The following is an 18485-nucleotide window of genomic DNA, read 5'->3' as shown; positions in this document are numbered from 1 at the left end:
ACTGCTGTGTCCCTGCATGTGGAGCAGTATCTGGCAACAGATAATTACTAAATGGAAGAAAACATTTTGAAACTGCCACCAGGTGCACATCAACTAGTAAATGCTACTAAAGCAAGAGATACTTTGTAAAGTAATTTTTAATTGTCCACTAAAATTGCATGAACCTGGCATGCCCTGTGAATAGGAAAATAAGTATAAACACAGTCTCCATGCCACTTGACCCACATTTCAGTCACACATAATATATATATACCTAGTGTTATAGGTCAGGTTCCCCAAGAAATAAACTCTGAGATGGAGATCTGTGTGCAGAAAGTTTACTGGAGAGTGCCGTTGAGTTCAACATTCATGGGGGAGTGAGGCAGGAAATGAAGCTAAATGGGCAGAGAGAGAAGCTGGGATGCAATGTAGTCAGAATGAAGGCTTCTGTCCATGCCCTGGAGAGCTGAAGCTGGGCTGACCTACAGCGTTAGCCCAAGTTGATGCAAAGGGGCCTATACACCCCTGCATAGATTCCAGGAAGGAGGCATGACCTCAGGAAAGGCAGCTATCTTCAGCGGCGGCAATTCCCACCTGCTGGGGAAATACATCCTTCAGGTCTGAAGGGGCTGCACAGGACAGCACTACCTATCATTACTTTTATCAGTAGAAAAAGATAACTGGACCCAAACATAGACTTCTAAACAGATAGTCCAAAATAAAGAAAAATCCTGACTCACATTACTATAGTATAGGAAACCCAGTTGATATTAGCGATGTCATGTATAATATCACTATTTTTAATAGAAATAAATTAGTAGAAAATCAGAATGGCATTAATCTTTGCTGCAAGTCAAGCAACACATAGATTTTAAAATGCTATTTGAGAGGCACATGTTCTCAGGACCTCCTGAGGGCTGTGTAACAGGCAAAATTTAAATTTTTAAAAATAAAATAAATGCTATTAGAAATTATAAAATGTTGCTCATGTGAAAGACAGAAGGGAAACATACATTCTAAACTGAACCACCTGTCTGTAATGCACTATTTAATTTTTGTGATTTTTGAAATATTTTCTAGTTAAAAATACTTTTAGGCCAGGTGTGGTGGCTCACACCTCTAATCCCAGCACTTTGGGAGGCCGAGGCAGACAGATCACAAGGTCAGGAGTTCGAGACCAGCCTGGCCAACATGGTGAAACCCCATCTCTACTATAAACACAAAAAATTAGCCAGGCGTGGTGGCAGGCACCTGTAATCCCAGCTACTCGGGAGGCTGAGGCAGGAGAATTACTTGAACCTAGGAAGCGGAGGTTGCAGTGAGCCGAGACCATGCCACTGCACTCCAACCTGGGCAACAGAGCAAGACTCTGTCTCAAAATAAAGAAAACCTTTTAAACAAAATCAGCAAGATGCATCACCATTTCAAGATACTGTGGGAAATATGTGGCAGGAGACATCCATATATCTACTAAACTTGAGGATAAGAAGGGAAAACAAGTTTAGAAACAGATGTAAGTGTATGTCCTCCTTTAGTTCATCTGCCTAAGAATGCAGAAGAGCTGATGGCAAACATTTAAAACTACCATAATACCAGGCTGGATACGGTGGCTCACGCTTGTAATCCCAGCACTTTGGGAGGCCGAGGCAGGAGGATCACTTGAGACCAGGAATTTGAGACCAGCCTGACCAACATAGTGAGATCCCATCTCTATTTAAAAATTTAAAATAAAACTTTAAGCTACCAATAGGCTAGGCATGGTGGCTTACGCCTGTAATCCCAGCACTTGGGGAGGCCGAGAGGGTCAGATTACCTAAGGTCGGGAGTTTGAGACCAGCCTGGCCAACATGGCAAAACCCCATCTCTACTAAAAATAGAATAATAATAATAATAATAATAATAATAATAATAATAGCTGGGTGTGGTGGTGGGTGGCTGTAATCCCAGTTACTTGAGAGGCTGAGGCAGGAGAATCGCTTGGACCCAGGAGGCGGAGGTTGCAGTGAGCCAAGATAATGCCACTGCACTCCAGCCTGGGTGACAGAGTGAGATGCCGTCTTAAAAAAAAAAAAACTGAAAACTACCATAATAGAGTAACTCAGCATTTCCTAAAGCATGCTCCACAGAACACTATTCCACAAGATAGGGATAAGTGTTTTACATACACATACCCACAAAGACAAGACACAATAGCCAATGAGTTGGGAAAAACTGGGTTAACTAAGTTTAACAAGTTTCCTTATTGCAGGACTTCTTGGGAGCCTTTATTTAACATTAATTTAGTATACGGCATTCCCCAACTTATTCTTTTGTTGGATAATTATATGGGACACATGTTCTGCAGCACATATTTTGAGAAATGGTGTCCTAACATCATAATTTTTATTATAAATATGCTTCTAAAATGTAGATTCATTTTTAATGTCCTGTTTTTCATTGAGAGCTAAATTATTAAGTGTTCCCAACATTCTCCAGAATGGATAGGAAGAACTAAGCTCAATGGTGGCCATCAAGTTTCCATAGCTGAGATCCTCTCTAGGGCAAATCTCACCACACATATACACACACACACAACACATACACGATCACAAAAGACAGCAAAACAAATATTTAAAGCCAAATCAGGTCACAGTTCTAGAAGTTTTGGGATGTACCTGGATGTTGTAGCAAGCTCGCTGCTGAACATGTTTCTGTGGCTGGACATCACTCTCCACTCCCAGAGACCTGACCTCTGTCCTTGAGGCACAGGTGTCAGGCACGGAAAACTGAACAGTAGCAAATGGATACCAATCAGAGGGAATTTCTTGGTCTGATCCAAGCTCTAATTTGTATGACAGACAATGGGGATGATCTAGACCTCGAGGGAAAAAAAATCAAATAGTCAAAGTATTTTAATGGCCATTGAACATTTCTCTTGAACATAAAAGGCACTCATCTCTCTCCTTAATAAGGAATTTCATTAGCACTGCAGCAGTGCAAATTCCATTTAAACAACATACCATGAAAATCTACAATTTTGCACCAACTAGGGGGAAAGCTGTCTGCCATTTTTAAGTACTAGCTTTAAAAACAAGTACAACTTCATTACTATTTTGAATAAGAATGGCAAAAATATAAAAATAAAAAATATATTACTATATGCAGGCACAGATGAACTCCTAAAAATGTTTTCAATTAGAAATATTACTAATATTAATTAGAAATATTACTATATTTAGCAAATTATATTAGTATATAACAATATAATTACTATATTATACTAATATAATTTGCTAAATATTTATTTTAAGCAATATTTTTAATATTAATGTTTAATTTATATTAAACAATATAGTAATATGCTTAAACTTAATTGTTTTCCTTAATTAAAAGATATGAGTAATATTTATATTAAACATAATTATTTGGCTACAATGTGCTCAAGACCTGTACAAGCCTCTTTCTCTTAGACTGAGTAACATCTTATAATTATTAATTTATTCATTTCCTTACCATCTATTTACAGATAACTCAAAAATAAACTTCAGCCCAAATTAAGTCGCATTATTTTAAAATTCTGATTTTTAAAAGTTAAACTTAACTTTCAGAAAATGTTCCAGGCCAAGAATTCTTTTTTCAGTGGAACAAATTATTTTTCCCTACTGTAATTCTCACTCATCCTTCCAAAATACTTTGACTGGAACAGCTATACAGAGTAGAAATGGGCATATTGGCCTTTAATATTTTAATCTAATATTGGTTTTCACTCAATTTGTCACTTATTGAGCATCTGTGCTATGCCAGGCCAGGTTCAGTGCCAGACCCAGAGATACTGGATATATTTCAAAGATTTTAGATGGGGGTCATATAGTGTGTGTGTGTGTGTGTGTGTGTTATAAGGAAATGATCAATATTTTCATTGTAATCACTGCAGCAGCTTTACAAACATTCCATGATTCTGTTGCATTGTTCATAGCATCTCCATATCTAATGTGGCTATCTTTACTTAAATAAATGTATGAGATAAAGAGTAATTTCAAGAACCAGATTAAATTACTGTACCACTGACATAGCTAGAGAAAGAGCATTTCCATCAGAATATAGCTTTAGGCACAAAAACAAGAGTTTAAAGGATTTCACTTAATTCTTAAAAGATAAATTACCTTTCGTTCCATACAACCTGTTTCTTGTAGAGTGACTAATAGAATTCTAAGGCTGTAAAAAGCCTTGAGAAATCATCAATCAGTTAACCAACAGATGCTCATTAGCCATCTCTACCACTTACAGGAAGGGTAGGACAACAGTGGCCTCTGAGGTGCTCTTAACAACCTGATCACTGGAGGCAAGTGATAACTTCATTCTCATACACACACACCCAGAAAGATTGCAAACCCCATTACTCTTTTTAGTCCTCTGTCTGCAGTGAGGATACAGTAAGTTCATTTACACTTACTGCAGGCATTCTTCTGTCTTGTTATGGCAAAGTGGTTAAGGCTAGGGTTACAAATTGCTTATCTCTCTGAGCCTCAGTTTCTTCATCTAAAAATGTGGATAATGAGGATAACCTGAACCTTATAAGGGCTGTTGTGAGGATTAACCAGTTCATATGCATACAGCACTGGGGCAGTAGTATTCTATAGCAATATAGATGAGCCAGACATATTATTTTGCAAAGTGCTATTCAATTATAAAGCCAGTATTATTTAATTACTATAATTTTGCTAATAAAGGGACTGTGAATGTTACACATTCGGAGTTAAAAATTATACTACACATGATCTGATTTGATACTCACACTTTATAAGAAAAAATTATTTGGGGAAATTTTACGATGAAAATTGAAGAACTAAACCCAAATTGAAGACTTAGTGGTACAAAAAATGTCAGAAACAAAACCTTTCTACCTGCTTTTCTTTAAAAATGGTAAAAGCCTTTTTCCTTTCAAGTTTTCTGGCTTATTTTTTAAGGCTTTTGAAAATGCTAAATGCTCTACAATGTTTAGTAACACACTCCCTCTTCAGACTTTCTGCCCCACAGGGACAGGTGTCATGTCTGTCCTTAGCACAATGTCTGTCATGTTTGGGGCTTAACAGATTATTTTCAAATTCACCAATTAATGAATAAAAGATAGAGGAAAATCGTGTTGTCGCAGTGCTGACCACCAGGGGGAACTGTCCAGCTTTGGTCATTGTTCACTCAACATAATTCCTTTTCTTAGGACGGGGAATGTAAATCACAAAATCTTAGGTCTAGTTGATATCCAGTCCCTCCTGAACCAAAATATTTTACACCTGAAACTGAACTGTTAGAGGGCCGAAGGGAAAGAATAGCAAGAGGATGACAGAGTGGAGGAGGAGAGAGCAACCAACGTGCTGATGACAGGGCAGAAGAAAAAAAGAGAAAAGTCGAAAAATTGGGAAGTTAGAGGTAGATATATTTAATTGCTCCTCCACCACTCTCATTCCCCTTAATAATTCTGTGCCACCATATACACCTCCTCTGGCTAACCAGCATCCTCATTTGTCTTCAGCTGTCTTTCTCTTTCTTCCTTTCTCTTTCTCTCTCTATCACCCCAACAAAGCCTAAGCTCCTCTGCTGTCATTCACACCTTAGTATGAATGAAGTCTGTGAGCTAGTGCCTCAGGCAAACCTTTGTTGCAAAATGAAAGACCTGCCCACTGTCAAAGGAATACTAAGCATTGACAAGCTGGTTAGAAGGGACATTAAGGGACCAGCAGCCCTCCCCACCTTTCCAGAAATCACAGGTGATTTCCCCAGTAAAAAAGGTCAATCCTGATCCCTCAAATTCCCAGGAAGGAAAAAAAATTTAAAAAAAAGTTTTATAATTAGAACATAGTAGACTAGTTTATATGTTCTTGCCAGGTGCGGTAGGTAGCTTATACCTATAATCCCAGCACTCGGAAGGCCAAGGCGGGTGGGTTGCCTGAGCTGAGAAGTTCGAGACCAGCCTGAGCAACACGGCAAAACCTCATCTCTACCAAAAATACAAAAAATTAACCAGGTGTGATGGCACGTGCTGTGGTCCCAGCTACTTGGGAGGCTGAGGTGGGAGGATGGCTTGAGCCTGGGAGGTAGAGGTTGCAGTGAGCTGAGACCTCGCCACTGCACTCCAGTGCTATTCATTCAGTTTCCATTTTCGAAGTATCTTTTCAAATAATGCAAAGTTTTCCGAGACAATCTTGAAAAGGATAAAATTTTAAAGAGCTTTTTAAAAACTTTATGTTCTCTAAATACACAACTGATCTAAAAGTCATATAGAAAAATAGAGATGCATTCTGGGATCCTGCTATTCTAAGCGTATTCCTTGGGCCAGATGCATTGGCGTCACATCAGCACTTGTTAGAAACACAGTATTCCAGATCCCACTTGCTCAGTCAAAATCCACATTTTAACAAGGTGATTCCTGGGCCCACAAAAGTTTGAGAAGCACTGCCTTAGGACAAAGATTTCCTCTCTGCTCCAACCTTATTATTACCCTACTTCTCAAGAGGCAAATTAGCTTATAGCCTGCCCTGGCACCCTCTCACTCTCTGCATTGCCCTCCCTACCCCCTCAACGGAGAAGCTTGGGGCAGGGCCCTGTAATCCCAGAAATGTCCTGCCCCAAGCCAGGCCCACAGCTGCACCATGCCCTCTGGACGCCACCTGACACAGCCCCACTGTGTTTTCCCTGGGCCTCCTCTTTGTGCACAGACCTGATCTCAATAAAGCAGCTGTGATCCCAAAGGATTTGTTCAGTGAATTATCACTGTGTAATTGACTGAAATGCCTGTAAAATGTTGTCCTCTGTGGGCCTGGTGATATGACGGTTTTACAAAAGAATTCCTGAAGGCCAAGATCAGGTCCAGCCAGTTTCCCTGGAAATGTCCATTCTTGTCATTGTTCTTGGTGAGCTCCACTGCTAATAAATACTCATGGGAGGCCGGACGCAGTGGCTCATGCCTATAATCCCAGCACTTTGGGAGGCCAAACTGGGCAGGTCACGAGGTCAGGAGTTTGAGACCAGCCTGGCCAATATGGCGAAACCCCATCTCTACTAAAAACACGAAAATTAGCCAGGCGTGGTGGTGCGCACCTGTAGTCCCAGCTACTTGGGAGGCTGAGGCAGAAAAATCTCTTGAACACAGGAGGTGGAGGTTGCAGTGAGCCAAGATGGTGCCATTGCACTCCAGCCTGGGTGGCAGAGCGAGACTCCGTCTCATAAATAAATAAATAAATAAATAAATACTCATGGGAGAGCAATAACAGAGGTCTGGAAGACAAAGGCATATGCAGAGCAGGGAGGAATGATCTCTGCCTAGGGGATCACGTCAGTAGTTCTCAACCCCGGCTGCATGAGCCTTTATAAACATCAACACCTGAGCCTCATCTTCATAGAGCCCGATTAGTAGGGGATGGGGCCCAAATATGGGTATGTGTTTGAAGCTTTAATGATGCTAACATGTGGCCAGGACTGGGAAACAGACTTTAAAAGGATGAGTGATGAGAAGATCCCAGGCTATCTCGGCTAATGGCACCATTGCCCACCTATCCACCACAGCCAGAGCACCTGACCTTGTCCCATTCCCTCCCTTTCCCTCATGCCCATAGAGAATCTGTCATCACTTAGGGGCACCTCCCCTGAATTCGCTCACCCATCTCTTGCCTCTCTCTCTCTGCCACTGCCTTTGCTCAGCAACCCTTACCTCCTCCCAACTTCCCTGTGTCTATAATCTACTCCTAAATCTTTCCTCTGCACTGCATGCCAGCCTTTCTGAAACAAGATATGATTCTGTAGCAGTCATGCCGAAAACAACCCCGAGGCCCTGTTGACAGATAAACTTCACACCCCACAGCATGGCCCACAAGGTCTTAATACACTGGTCTCTTCCCCGACCACTCCCTCAGCCCCAAAACTTAGGTAAGATCCCCCACCCACACACCTGTGGTTCTGCTGTTTCTTTCTTTGATGGAAACTCTATTGACTCTCCCAGCCATCAGCTCTTCAGCGAAGCCCTCCCTAGTCCCCAGGCAGTTTATTACCCTTTCCTCTGGGATCCCTAAGTGCATATGTTTGTCCAAGCCTGGAACTATGCACTTTTCCACAGTGCATTTGGGTAGCTGCTTCAGAGTCTGTCTCACCTTCTAGACTGTTAAGTTTCTGGTAGAGTAGGAATCATGTTTGTGTCTGTATCTCTTAAACACTCAGCACAGAACCTATACCTAGAAGAACTTTAGTAGATGTTTGTGGAGTAAATGAGTGAGACTCCTTCTCAATAAATTCTTGTTGATTGAATCAGTTAACTACACCAATGACTCTGAAAAAAATGCAGTATTATAAACAGGATCATTTTCACAAAAAGCTTCATACGTGTCTGCACTCCCAAAATTAGAAAAGATGATTGGTATGGGTTCTCAGTTTGAAAAATAAGTGTGGTTACCCTGGCCAGGCTTTAGCCAAGTGCTTATTTCCTTCAGGGCCTCCCGGAGCACCTGCTCTAAGTAGAGCAATAGGAATGGACTACAAAGGGAGCCTGTGCTCTTGTCCCTCTCACACCACGTGGGCAAGCCCACAGCCTGAGCCTATTGTGCTTCTCTCTCAAAAGCATAATTACCACTTCAAGTCTATGCAAAAACTGCTTTGGACCTTTTGTTCTAGTCCTCGAGACCATCTCTAGGATCAACGGAAAACAACAGGAGTTAGTTTATCACCCAGATTTCAGGGGAAACCTGCAGATCCAGGAGTTTCCAATAGGCATTCCAGCCTGCCTGACTTTCTGCCTGCCTCTCTTTCCCTTTTTGTTGAGCAAAACAAAAGCTAATACTCTGATTTTGTTTAAACCCTCTAACCTAAAACTAGCACAAGTAACTTTTAGAATAGACCATTTGGAACCTTGTATGAAGACCTTAAAACTGGTTTCTCTGGCATGATGATGCAAATGGTTCAATTTGCCTCTCTAGCCAAGTTATAAAAGAAAGCAGGGGCCAGGCACGGTGGCTCAAACCTCTAATCCCAGCACTTTGGGAGGCCGAGGCGGGTGGATCACCTGAGGTTGGGAGTTCGAGACCAGCCTGGCCAACATGGTGAAACCCCATCTCTACACAAAATATAAGAAGTTAGCCGGGTGTGGTGGTGCGGGCCTGTAATCCTAGCTACTTGGGAGGTTGAGCCACTAGAATTGCTTGAACCCAGGAGGCAGCGGTTGCAGTGAGCCAAGATTGCACCACTGCACTCCAGCCTGGGTGACAGAGCAACACTCCATCCCAAAAAAAGAAAAAAAAAGAAAGCAGGAAACATCATCTCAGTGGATTATATCATAGAAGATACTGACCTTCCCTCCCATCACAGCAGAGTTGATCAGAATGTGCTGTTTGAGACCATTTACTGTGACCAGGCTGCACCATCACCACCTCACTCTGCCCTAAGCCTGAGCTATCCTTGCTAGTATGGGGGAACTGAACATAATTAATCTGAGTCTTGAGAACGCTGTGGGGTGAAATTTGGCATTAATGAAGAAGGGTATGGGGTGTCAGGAAGAAAGACAATGTAGGAACTTCCCTTCTGCACAGGGTCCTGGAGCTCCTCAGCTCACTAGGCCTGTGTCTCTCACCTGAAGGATCCTGCCCATAGCTCAAGCTCTCATCAGTCAACAGGTGTTAAACCAACAAACAGAGAGTCATGGACAAGGTGGTCCCATGGCCTCCAGGGTACGGGCAGTGCTGCCCCTCAAGTCAATTGTAGTCTGGGGCTTGTTCTTCTGGTTCTACAACTTTACAACACCTGGAGAGCAGTGTTCTTCCCTCTGGCTACACCTTGTATCTGGAGAGATCTTAAAATACTTGGAATCTGGCTCCCTCCCCACCGCCCACCCCCGCCAGAGATTCCGATTTAATTAGCATGAAGTGAAACCTAAACATTGAGATGATTTAAAAGCTTTCAAGTTATTCTAATATAGTCAGGTTTGGCCAGGCATGGTGGCTCACACCTGTAATCCCAACACTTTGGGAGGCCAAGGCGGGTGGATCACTTGAGGTCAGGAGTTCAAGACCAGTCTGGCCAACATGGGAAAACCCCGTCTCTACTAAAAATAAAAAAACTAGCCAGGCGTGGTGGCTCACGCCTGTCGTCCCAGCTACTCGGGAGGCTGAGGCAGGAAAATCACTTGAACCTGGGAGGCAGAGGTTGCAGTGAGCTATCGCACTGCACTCCAGCCTGAGCAACAGAGTAAGACTCCATCTCAAAATAATAATAATAATAATATAGCCAGGTTTGAGAAACACTGCCATAAGGCCACCCCAAAGAAAAATGCTTCCTCTGAAGTCCACAGCCTGGAGGGGCCTAGATGAGCTTAAATTTCTCTGAAGGACTACAGCAGCTGTGAGCCATCTGGAAACAGGGATCAGATTTTTATTTATCTTTATCCCCAGCACTTGATGTGGCACTTGGTATACAGTAAGTACTCAGTAAAGATTTGGATGGATGGGCCGGGCACAGTGGCTCAAGCCTGTAATCCCAGCACTATGGGAGGCCGAGGTGGGAGGATCACAAAGTCAGGAGTTTGAGACCACCCTGGCCAATATGGTGAAACCCTGTCTCTACTGAAATACAAAAATTAGCCAGGCATGGTGGTGGGCGCCTGTAGTTCCAGCTACTCCGGAGGCTGAGGCAGGAGAATCACTTGAACCCGAGAGGCGGAGGTTGCAGTAAGCCGAGATTGTGCCACCGCACTCCACCTGGGTGAGAAAGCGAGACTCCATCTCAAAAAAAAAAAAAAAAGAAAAAAAAGATTTGGATCAATGGATGGATGGATCGATGGATGCATGAATGCATCAACTCAGGTCCCCCAACCCCACCTCCAATTTAACTCCAGAGACCAGTGACCAGTGCTCTGCTAGGGGGGAAAAAAAAAAAAAACCAACAACCCTCAACTAAAATAGGAAAGAGCTCTAATTTTAAAATTTGGTTTTTGACTTTATTATATTATGTCCACTACTATTTACTTACTACTCCAAAATAAATGTGGTACTATAACTGTCTTTTCAAGTTCTGACTTTTAGATAATTTTTATTTGCAAAATTTTTAAAAATTAACTGAATTTTTAACACTCACGTGTGTCCACCTAATTCTAAAACAACCAGTTTAGGCCAGATGAGGTGGCTCACACCTGTAATGCTAGCATTTTGGGAGGCCAATGTGGGAGGATCCCTTGAGCCCAGGAATTCAAGAGCAGCCTGGGCAACATAGGGAGACCCCGTCTCTACTAAAAAACAAAAAATTAGCCAGGCACGATGGTATGCATCTGTAATCCCAGGTACTGAGGAGGCTGAAGCAGGAAGATCACTTGAGCCTGGGAAGTGGAGGCTGCAGTGAGCCGTGATCGTGCCACTGCACTCCAGCCTGGATGACAGAGTGAGATGCCATGTCAAAAACAAAAACAATACAAGTTGAGATGACCAAATGGGTGAATTCAGTCAACAAAAATCAATTTGGGTAAAAATGAAAGCAGTCTTATTTCAAAGAGCAGGGAGCAAACCTAAGGAAGAAGTGGTATCAGCTGAGAATGCAAAGAAGTTCAGGTATATTCATGGATGACAGATCTTTAGAGATTAATTAGGGAATCTCAGCTATATTAGAAATATTTTTAACATTTGAAGTTGATGCGTTAATCTCAACCATGGATATCAACGAATTTTCTCTTAGTGCCGCCATCCACAACAAATTCCTAGCCTAGCATGGTATTTCGTATGATATTTAAAAAATGTTCAACAGTTAAACTTATCTGGTAGAAATAGGTGCAAAAGGAAACAAATAAACCAGCTGTTTAGCTAAATGTTCCATCTCCTACCCCAAAGCACAGCCTCAGCTGACAAATTGCCATCTGTCTCTACCTGGTTTCAACCCAAGGAGGAAGGTAAGAATATTTAAGCTATTTCCCATGAAAATAAACTTGGGGTGTTGAATATTTACTTGAATTTTTGTCTGGAAGCCGATCTATCTTCCATACCACTGCCTGGTAGGCACTCTCATATTTTGCTGACCCCACAGTGACTTGAATGACAGGTTCAGATTCAAGTTCCTGTAAACTCCCCAGACATGCTCGGCGGTTCATTTTAGCTTTCAGAGACTTCTGCCTCTGGAGGTTCATGGTCCAAAGGGCCTTGATCCACTGCGATGGGACAGGAAAGTGTATCCTTATATTGTCACAGGACCTTAAGGAACCAGCATAGGATGACCTCTGCGCCAATGAGGCCATGTTGACAAAAGCCTGAAGTTCCACGTATGCTCCCTGGACAACCACTACAGACTTCAAGGAAAAGGGAAGATTATCCCCATTATACAAAGTCTTGAAACGCATCAGCTCAAACCGGCAGGCATCCAGAGGTACAAACTTAATGATTCTTGATTGCTCAAATTCTTGTACATTCACACACTTATGAAAATGGTAGTCAAGAATATCAATCCCCTTTTTTTCTGAGTCCTTCTCATAATAGGATTCATCTCGCTTCGGCAACTCAAGGTCATTCAAGGTTAAAAAGCATTCCAGGTTCCCATTCACAAAGCAGAGGCAATAAATTTGAGTTATCACAGCACTTTCAACAAATTTTCCTTCTTTTGTGACTTTACCCCAAAAGTTGTCCACAATTTCCAAGGAAATTTCTTGCTCCTCGTAGTTCTTTTTTGGTTTTGAAACAGCTGGCAACTTCATCAGCTCCTCCTCCACAGTAGTCAGAAAGTCAAGGAAGTCATGGTACGATGTGGACCCCAACTTCAGCATCTGCTCTATGTCAGGTTCATGAACTACTTCTGTCTTAGAATGGTATTTCCTTTTTTCTGTGTAAGACACATGTTCAATCTTCACAGTGTGGATTTTTCCTGCTACACTGAAGTTCTCAACCTTGGGTTCAGAAAGCCTACAATATGGATCAAGCTGTATCTCTTTAAATGGTTTTTCTAATCCCTGTTCATAATACATCTGCAAAATTCCTCCAGGCAAAACTTTCAGAAAAATTGGTCCCCATTGCCGGGAAGACATCATATTCTTCTTCTCAGGAATTCTCAGCATGAAAGACCATCCGGATTTTGGCTGACTCCTGAAGAGTGTGTGGGGGACAAAGGAAGAGGCATTTTCTTCAGCACATAGACAGTGCATAGACAAACTTCTAAGTGAGTCTTGGTTCTCAGCTGACTGGAGATGTTCAAGCTTCTCACAGATATAGTTGAGTGAACACTTATTTAGGCTTTTTTGGTCAATAGGCATCTCCTTGTTTCTTGATGAGAACATCTTTTTGCTTCCTGGTGGGTCAAGGGTGAAATGGGAATCACTGCCTTCATCTTTCCAAAATGGACTTGAAAAAGCACAGTCCTCTCGAAAATACTGAAACTGGGGGAGATCATCACTTTGGAATCCTAGGCTTTCAGCCTGTTGAGGATTAACTTCATCTGGAAGACCTACTTTGGGAGTTGGATGTGTACATGAGTGGTCACTGGGTAACAAGGCATGGGATAAACATGTTGGTCTGGTAGGCAGTAAGGAAGATTCTCCTCCTGATATTGCGAGTGGGCTGTCTGAAGATGATTCTGGAATAGGATAAAGCACATGAGTCCCTGCTTTGGGGATGCCAGGAAAACCTGGGAAGTCTTTGGTAGGTGTAGAAAGAGGAGAGTTACTTGGAGGTCCTGGACTGAAATAAAAATCTACAATGGGGGAGGAGAGAGGAGTGCTGCTGGTGGAGGAAGATCCACTGGGAAATTCCCTGAGGCCAGGAAGGTTCAGCTTCAGTCCATTTGGTCTACAGACACCTTGATTCTCCAGAGGAAAATTCTTTGACTTTTGAGAAGATTGAACAGCAGGATCATCATCAAAGGTGACCCATTTGCCTGGATTTGTGGAGCACATCTTTGGGATCAGATTGTGGTCTTGTCAAGAAATCAAATAGGTTGACTCTGTTAAAAAAATAAAATAAAGAGAAAATAGGTATATAAAATGAAGGGGGGAATCATTACTAAATGTCTTTACTTCTGATAAATGCTTAAAAATTATAATTCTGTTGGTGGCTAAGTGGATTAAAAAAAAAACATGATCCAACTGTATGCTGTCTATAAGGTACTCACTTTAGATTTAAAGACAGACATATGCTGAAAGTGAAAGGATGAAAAAACATATTCCATGCAAATGTTATCCAAGAGAGAGCAGGAGTAGCCATGCTTAAGCAAAATAAACTTTAAGTCAAAAACTATCATAGGAGACAAAGAAGGACATAATATAATGATAAAAGAGTCAATTCACTAGGAAGACGCAACAATTATAAATATATATTAACCCAGCTGGGAATGGTGGGTCACAACTGTAATCCCAGCACTTTGGGAGGCCGAGGCAAGCAGGTCACCTGAGGTCAGCAGTTCGAGAGCAGTCTGGCCAACATAGCAAAACCCTGTCTCTACAAAAAAATACAAAAATTAGCCAAGCATGGTGGTGGGCACCTGTAATCCCAGCTACTCAGGTAGCTGAGTCAGGAGAATCTCTTGAACCTGGGAGGCAGAGGTTGCAGTGAGCTGAGATAGTGCCATTGCACTCCAGCCTGGGTGACAGAGTGAAACTCCATCTGAAAATATATATATATTTATATATCCAACATCAGAGCACCCAAATATATGAAGCAAACATTAACAGAACTGAAGAGAGAAATAGATAGCCACCCACTAATAATTGGAGATTTCAACACCATACTTTCAACAATACACAGAACATCCAGACAGAAGACCACTAAAGAAACAATAGACTTGAACACTATAAACTCAACTAAACTGCCATACATATACAGAACATTCCACCTAACAGCAGCAGAACACATATTCTTCTCAAGCACACACAGAACATTTGCCAAAGCAGATCACGTTAGGTTACAAAACAAATCTTAACAAATGTGAGAAGATTGAAATCACACAAACATTTTTTCTAACCACAATGGAATAAAACTAGAAATTAATAATAGAAGGAAAACTAAAAAATTCACAAATATTTGAAAATTAACATACTCTTGAACAACCAATGGATCAAAGGAGAAATAAAAAAGGAAATTAGAAAATATCTTGAGACAAATGAAAATGAAAACACAGCACACCAAAACAGTACTCACAGGGAACTTTATAGCCACAAATGCGCCACTGCACTCCAGCCTGGGCAACACAGTGAGACTCCGTCTCAAAAAAAAAAAGGAAGAAAGAGGGCTGGGTGCAGTGGCTCACATCTATAATCCCAGCACTTTGGGAGGCTGAGGAGAGCAGATCACCTGAGGTCAGGAGTTCGAGACCAGCCTGGCCAACATGGAGAAACCCCATCTCTACTAAAAATACAAAAAATTAGCTGGGCATGGTGGCACACACTTGTAATCCCAGCTACTCAGGAGGCTGAGGCAGGAAAATCGCTTGAGCCCGGGAGGCAGAGGTTGCAGTGAACAGAGACTGTGTCATTACTCTCCAGCCTGGGCAAGGAGAACGAAACTTTGTCTCAAACAAAAAAAAAAAAGTGGTGTTGAAAAAACTTGATATCCACATGCAAAAGAGTGAAACTAAACTGTAATCTTATACCAGAGATGTCTAATCTTTTGGCTTCCCTCAGCCACACTGGAGGAAGAATTAAGGCCAGGCACAGTGGCTCACGCCTATAATCCCAGCACTTTGGGAGGCCAAGGTGGGTAGATCACTTGAGGTCAGGAGTTAGAGACCAGCCTGGCCAACATGGCAAAACCCAGTCTCTACTAAAAATACAAAAGTTAACCAAGCATGGTGGTGGGTACCTGCCCAAAAATTAGCCAGGCATGGTGGTGGGCAGGAGAATTGCTTGAACCTGAGAGGAGGAGGTTGCAGTGAGCTGAGATTGCACCATTGCACTCCAGCCTGGACGACAGAGAGAAACTCTATATCAAAAAAAAAAAAAAAAAAAAAAAAAGGAAGGAGGAGGAGGAGGAGGAGAAGGAGGAGAAGGAGGAGAAGGAGGAGAAAGAGGAAGCGGAGAAGGAGGAGGAGAAAAAGGAGAATTAGAATTGTGTTGGGCCACACACAAAATACACTAACACTACAGATAGCTGATGAGTTAAAAAAAGAAAAAAAAGGATCTCATGTTTTAAGAAAGTTTACAAATTTGTGTTAGGCAGCATTCAAAGCCGTCCTGGACTACATGTAGCCTGTGGGCTGCACGTTGGACAAGCTTGTCTTATATCATACACAACCATCAACTCAACATGGATGGAAGAGGCTGGGTGCAGTGGCTCACACCTGTAATCCCAACAACTTTGGGAGGCCAAGGTGGGTGGATCACCTGAGGTCAGAAGTCCAAGGCCAGCATGGCCAACATGGTGAAACCCCATCTCTACTATAAATACAAAAAAATTAGCCAGGCCTGGTGGCACACACCTGTATTCCAAGCTACTCTGGAGGCTAAGGCAGGGGAATTGCCTGGGAGGCAGAGGTTGCAGTAAGCCAAGGTTGTGTCACTGCACTTCAGCCTGGGCGACAGAGCAAAACTCCGTCTCAAAAAAAAAATAGATAAAAGATTTAAACATAAGACTTGAAACTATAAAACTCTGGGGGGTTTTTTGTTTTTTTGGTTTTTTTTGGCCGGGCTCGGTGGCTCATGCCTGTAATCCCAGCACTTTGGGAGGCCGAGGTGGACGGATCACCTGAGGTCAGGAGTTGGAGATCAGCCTGGGCAACATGGTGAAATCGCGTCTCTACTAAAAATATAAAAAATAGCCGGGAGTGGTGGTGGACGCCTGTAATCCCAGCTACTCAGGAGGCTGAGGCAGGAGAATCGCTTGAACCCAGGAGGTGGAGGTAGCAGTGAGTCAAGATTGTGCCACTGCACTCCAGCCTGGGCAACAAGAGTGAATCTCCTCCCCTACAAAAAACAAACAAACAAAAAAACCTGTTTTTTTTTCTTTTTTTTTTTATGAGACGGAGTCTCGCTCTGTCGCTCAGGCTGGAATGCAGTGGCCCGATCTCAACTCACTGCAACATCCGCCTCCCTGGTTCAATCAATTCTCCTGCCTCAGCCTCCTGAGTAGCTGGGATTGCAGGCACGCACCACCACGCCAGGCTAATTTTGGTATTTTTAGTAGAGATGGGGTTTCCCTACGTTGGTCAGGCTGGTCTCAAACTCCCGACCTCGTGATCTGCCCACCTCGGCCTCCCAAAGTGCTGGGATTATAGGGATGAGCCACCGCGCCCGGTGAAAACTATAAAACTCTGAGAAAAAAATGCAGAGGAAAATCTTCATAACATTGGTCTTGGCAATGATTTCTTGGATATGACAGCAAAGCACAGGCAACAAAAGCAAAAACAGAAAAGTGAGACACCATTAAACTTAAAAGTTTCTGCACAGCAAAGGAAACAATCAACAGAGTAAAAAGGTAACATAAAGAATAGGAGAAAATATTTGCAAACGGTATTTCTGTCTTTCTTTTTTTCTTTTTTTTTTTGAGATGGAATCTCGCTCAGTCGCCCAGGCTGGAGTGCAGTGGCGCGATCTTGGCTCACGGCAAGCTCCATCTCCCAGGTTCACGCCATTCTCCTACCTCAGCCTCCCAAGTAGCTGGGACTACAGGCGCCCGCCACCGCGCCCGGCTAATTTTTTGTATTTTTAGTAGAGACAGGGTTTCACCGTGTTAGCCAGGATGGTCTCAATCTCCTGAACTTGTGCTCCACCCGTCTCTGCCTCCAAAATGCTGGGATTACAGGCGTGAGCCACCGCGCCCGGCCTGCAAACGGTATTTCTTATAAGGAATTAATATCCAAAACATATAAGGAACTCAATAAACTCAACGGCAAGAAAATAAATCATGCAATTTAGTAATTGGCAAAGTACTTGAATAAACATGTCTCCAAAAAAGACATACAAATAGCCAGAAAATATATGAAAAGATGCTCAACATCACTAATCATCAGGACAATGCAAATCAAAACTACAACGAGGTATCTATCACCTCATACCTTTTAGAATGGCCATTATTTTCTTTTAAAAAAAAAAAAAAAAAGGATAATATGGCCAGGCACAGTGGCTCACACCTATAATCCCAGCACTTTGGAAAGCCGAGGCGGGAGGATCACTTGAGGTCAGGAGTTCAAGACCAGTCTGGCCAACATGGTGAAAACTCATCTCTACTAAAAATACAAAAATTAGCTGGGTGTGGTGGTGGGTGCCTGAAATCCCAGCCACTCAGGAGGCTGAGGCATGAGAATCACTTGAACCCAAGAGGCAGAGGTTGCAGTGAGCAGAGATCCCACTGCACTCCAGCCTGGGCAACACAGTGAGACTCTGTCTCAAAAAAAAAAAAAAAAAAAAAAAAAGAAAGGAAAACAACAAATCTTGGCAAGGATGTAAGAAATCGGAACCCTTGTGCATTGTTGCTGGCAATGTAAAGTGGTGCAGCCATTATGGGGAACAATATGGAAGGCCCTCAAAAAATTAAAAATAGGGCCAGGTGCGGTGGCTCACACCTCTAATCCAGGCACTTTGGGAGGCCAAGACA

The 18485-nt window shown here is 42.5% G+C and overlaps 2 protein-coding genes across 5 annotated transcripts in view, besides 1 other annotated feature; both read right to left on the bottom strand.

Moving 5' to 3' along the window:
- Positions 1-18485, bottom strand: part of STON1-GTF2A1L (STON1-GTF2A1L readthrough) — a 246595-nt gene that overhangs the window by 182031 nt on the left and 46079 nt on the right. For all 3 annotated transcript variants that reach the window (NM_001198593.2, NM_172311.3, NM_001198594.1), the window contains 2 exons: positions 11926-13902; positions 2634-2836 (listed from right to left, as the gene is read on the bottom strand). In NM_001198593.2, the coding sequence (NP_001185522.1) occupies positions 2634-2836; positions 11926-13855 (2133 nt within the window). In that variant the 5' untranslated portion in view covers positions 13856-13902. Of the gene's footprint in view, positions 1-2633; positions 2837-11925; positions 13903-18485 lie in introns of those variants that run through there.
- STON1 (stonin 1) overlaps positions 1-18485 on the bottom strand; it is a 68360-nt gene that overhangs the window by 4025 nt on the left and 45850 nt on the right. For both annotated transcript variants that reach the window (NM_001198595.2, NM_006873.4), the window contains 2 exons: positions 11926-13902; positions 2634-2836 (listed from right to left, as the gene is read on the bottom strand). In NM_001198595.2, coding sequence (NP_001185524.1) covers positions 2634-2836; positions 11926-13855 — 2133 coding nt within the window. In that variant the 5' untranslated portion in view covers positions 13856-13902. The remainder of the gene's footprint in view (positions 1-2633; positions 2837-11925; positions 13903-18485) is intronic.
- Positions 8322-8956: an enhancer, noted in NCBI's record as "OCT4-NANOG-H3K27ac-H3K4me1 hESC enhancer chr2:48812672-48813306 (GRCh37/hg19 assembly coordinates)". NCBI's record gives its function as "activates a minimal SCP1, AML or CMV promoter by ChIP-STARR-seq in naive H9 embryonic stem cells {active_cell/tissue: H9 hESC(naive)}" and the evidence as "EXISTENCE:reporter gene assay evidence [ECO:0000049][PMID:30033119]".

The sequence above is a fragment of the Homo sapiens genome, chromosome 2, assembly GCF_000001405.40.
Source record: "Homo sapiens chromosome 2, GRCh38.p14 Primary Assembly".
NCBI lineage: Eukaryota > Metazoa > Chordata > Mammalia > Primates > Hominidae > Homo > Homo sapiens.
The sequence above is the reverse complement of the archived record's forward strand: the minus strand, read 5'-3'. Positions and strand labels throughout refer to the sequence as shown.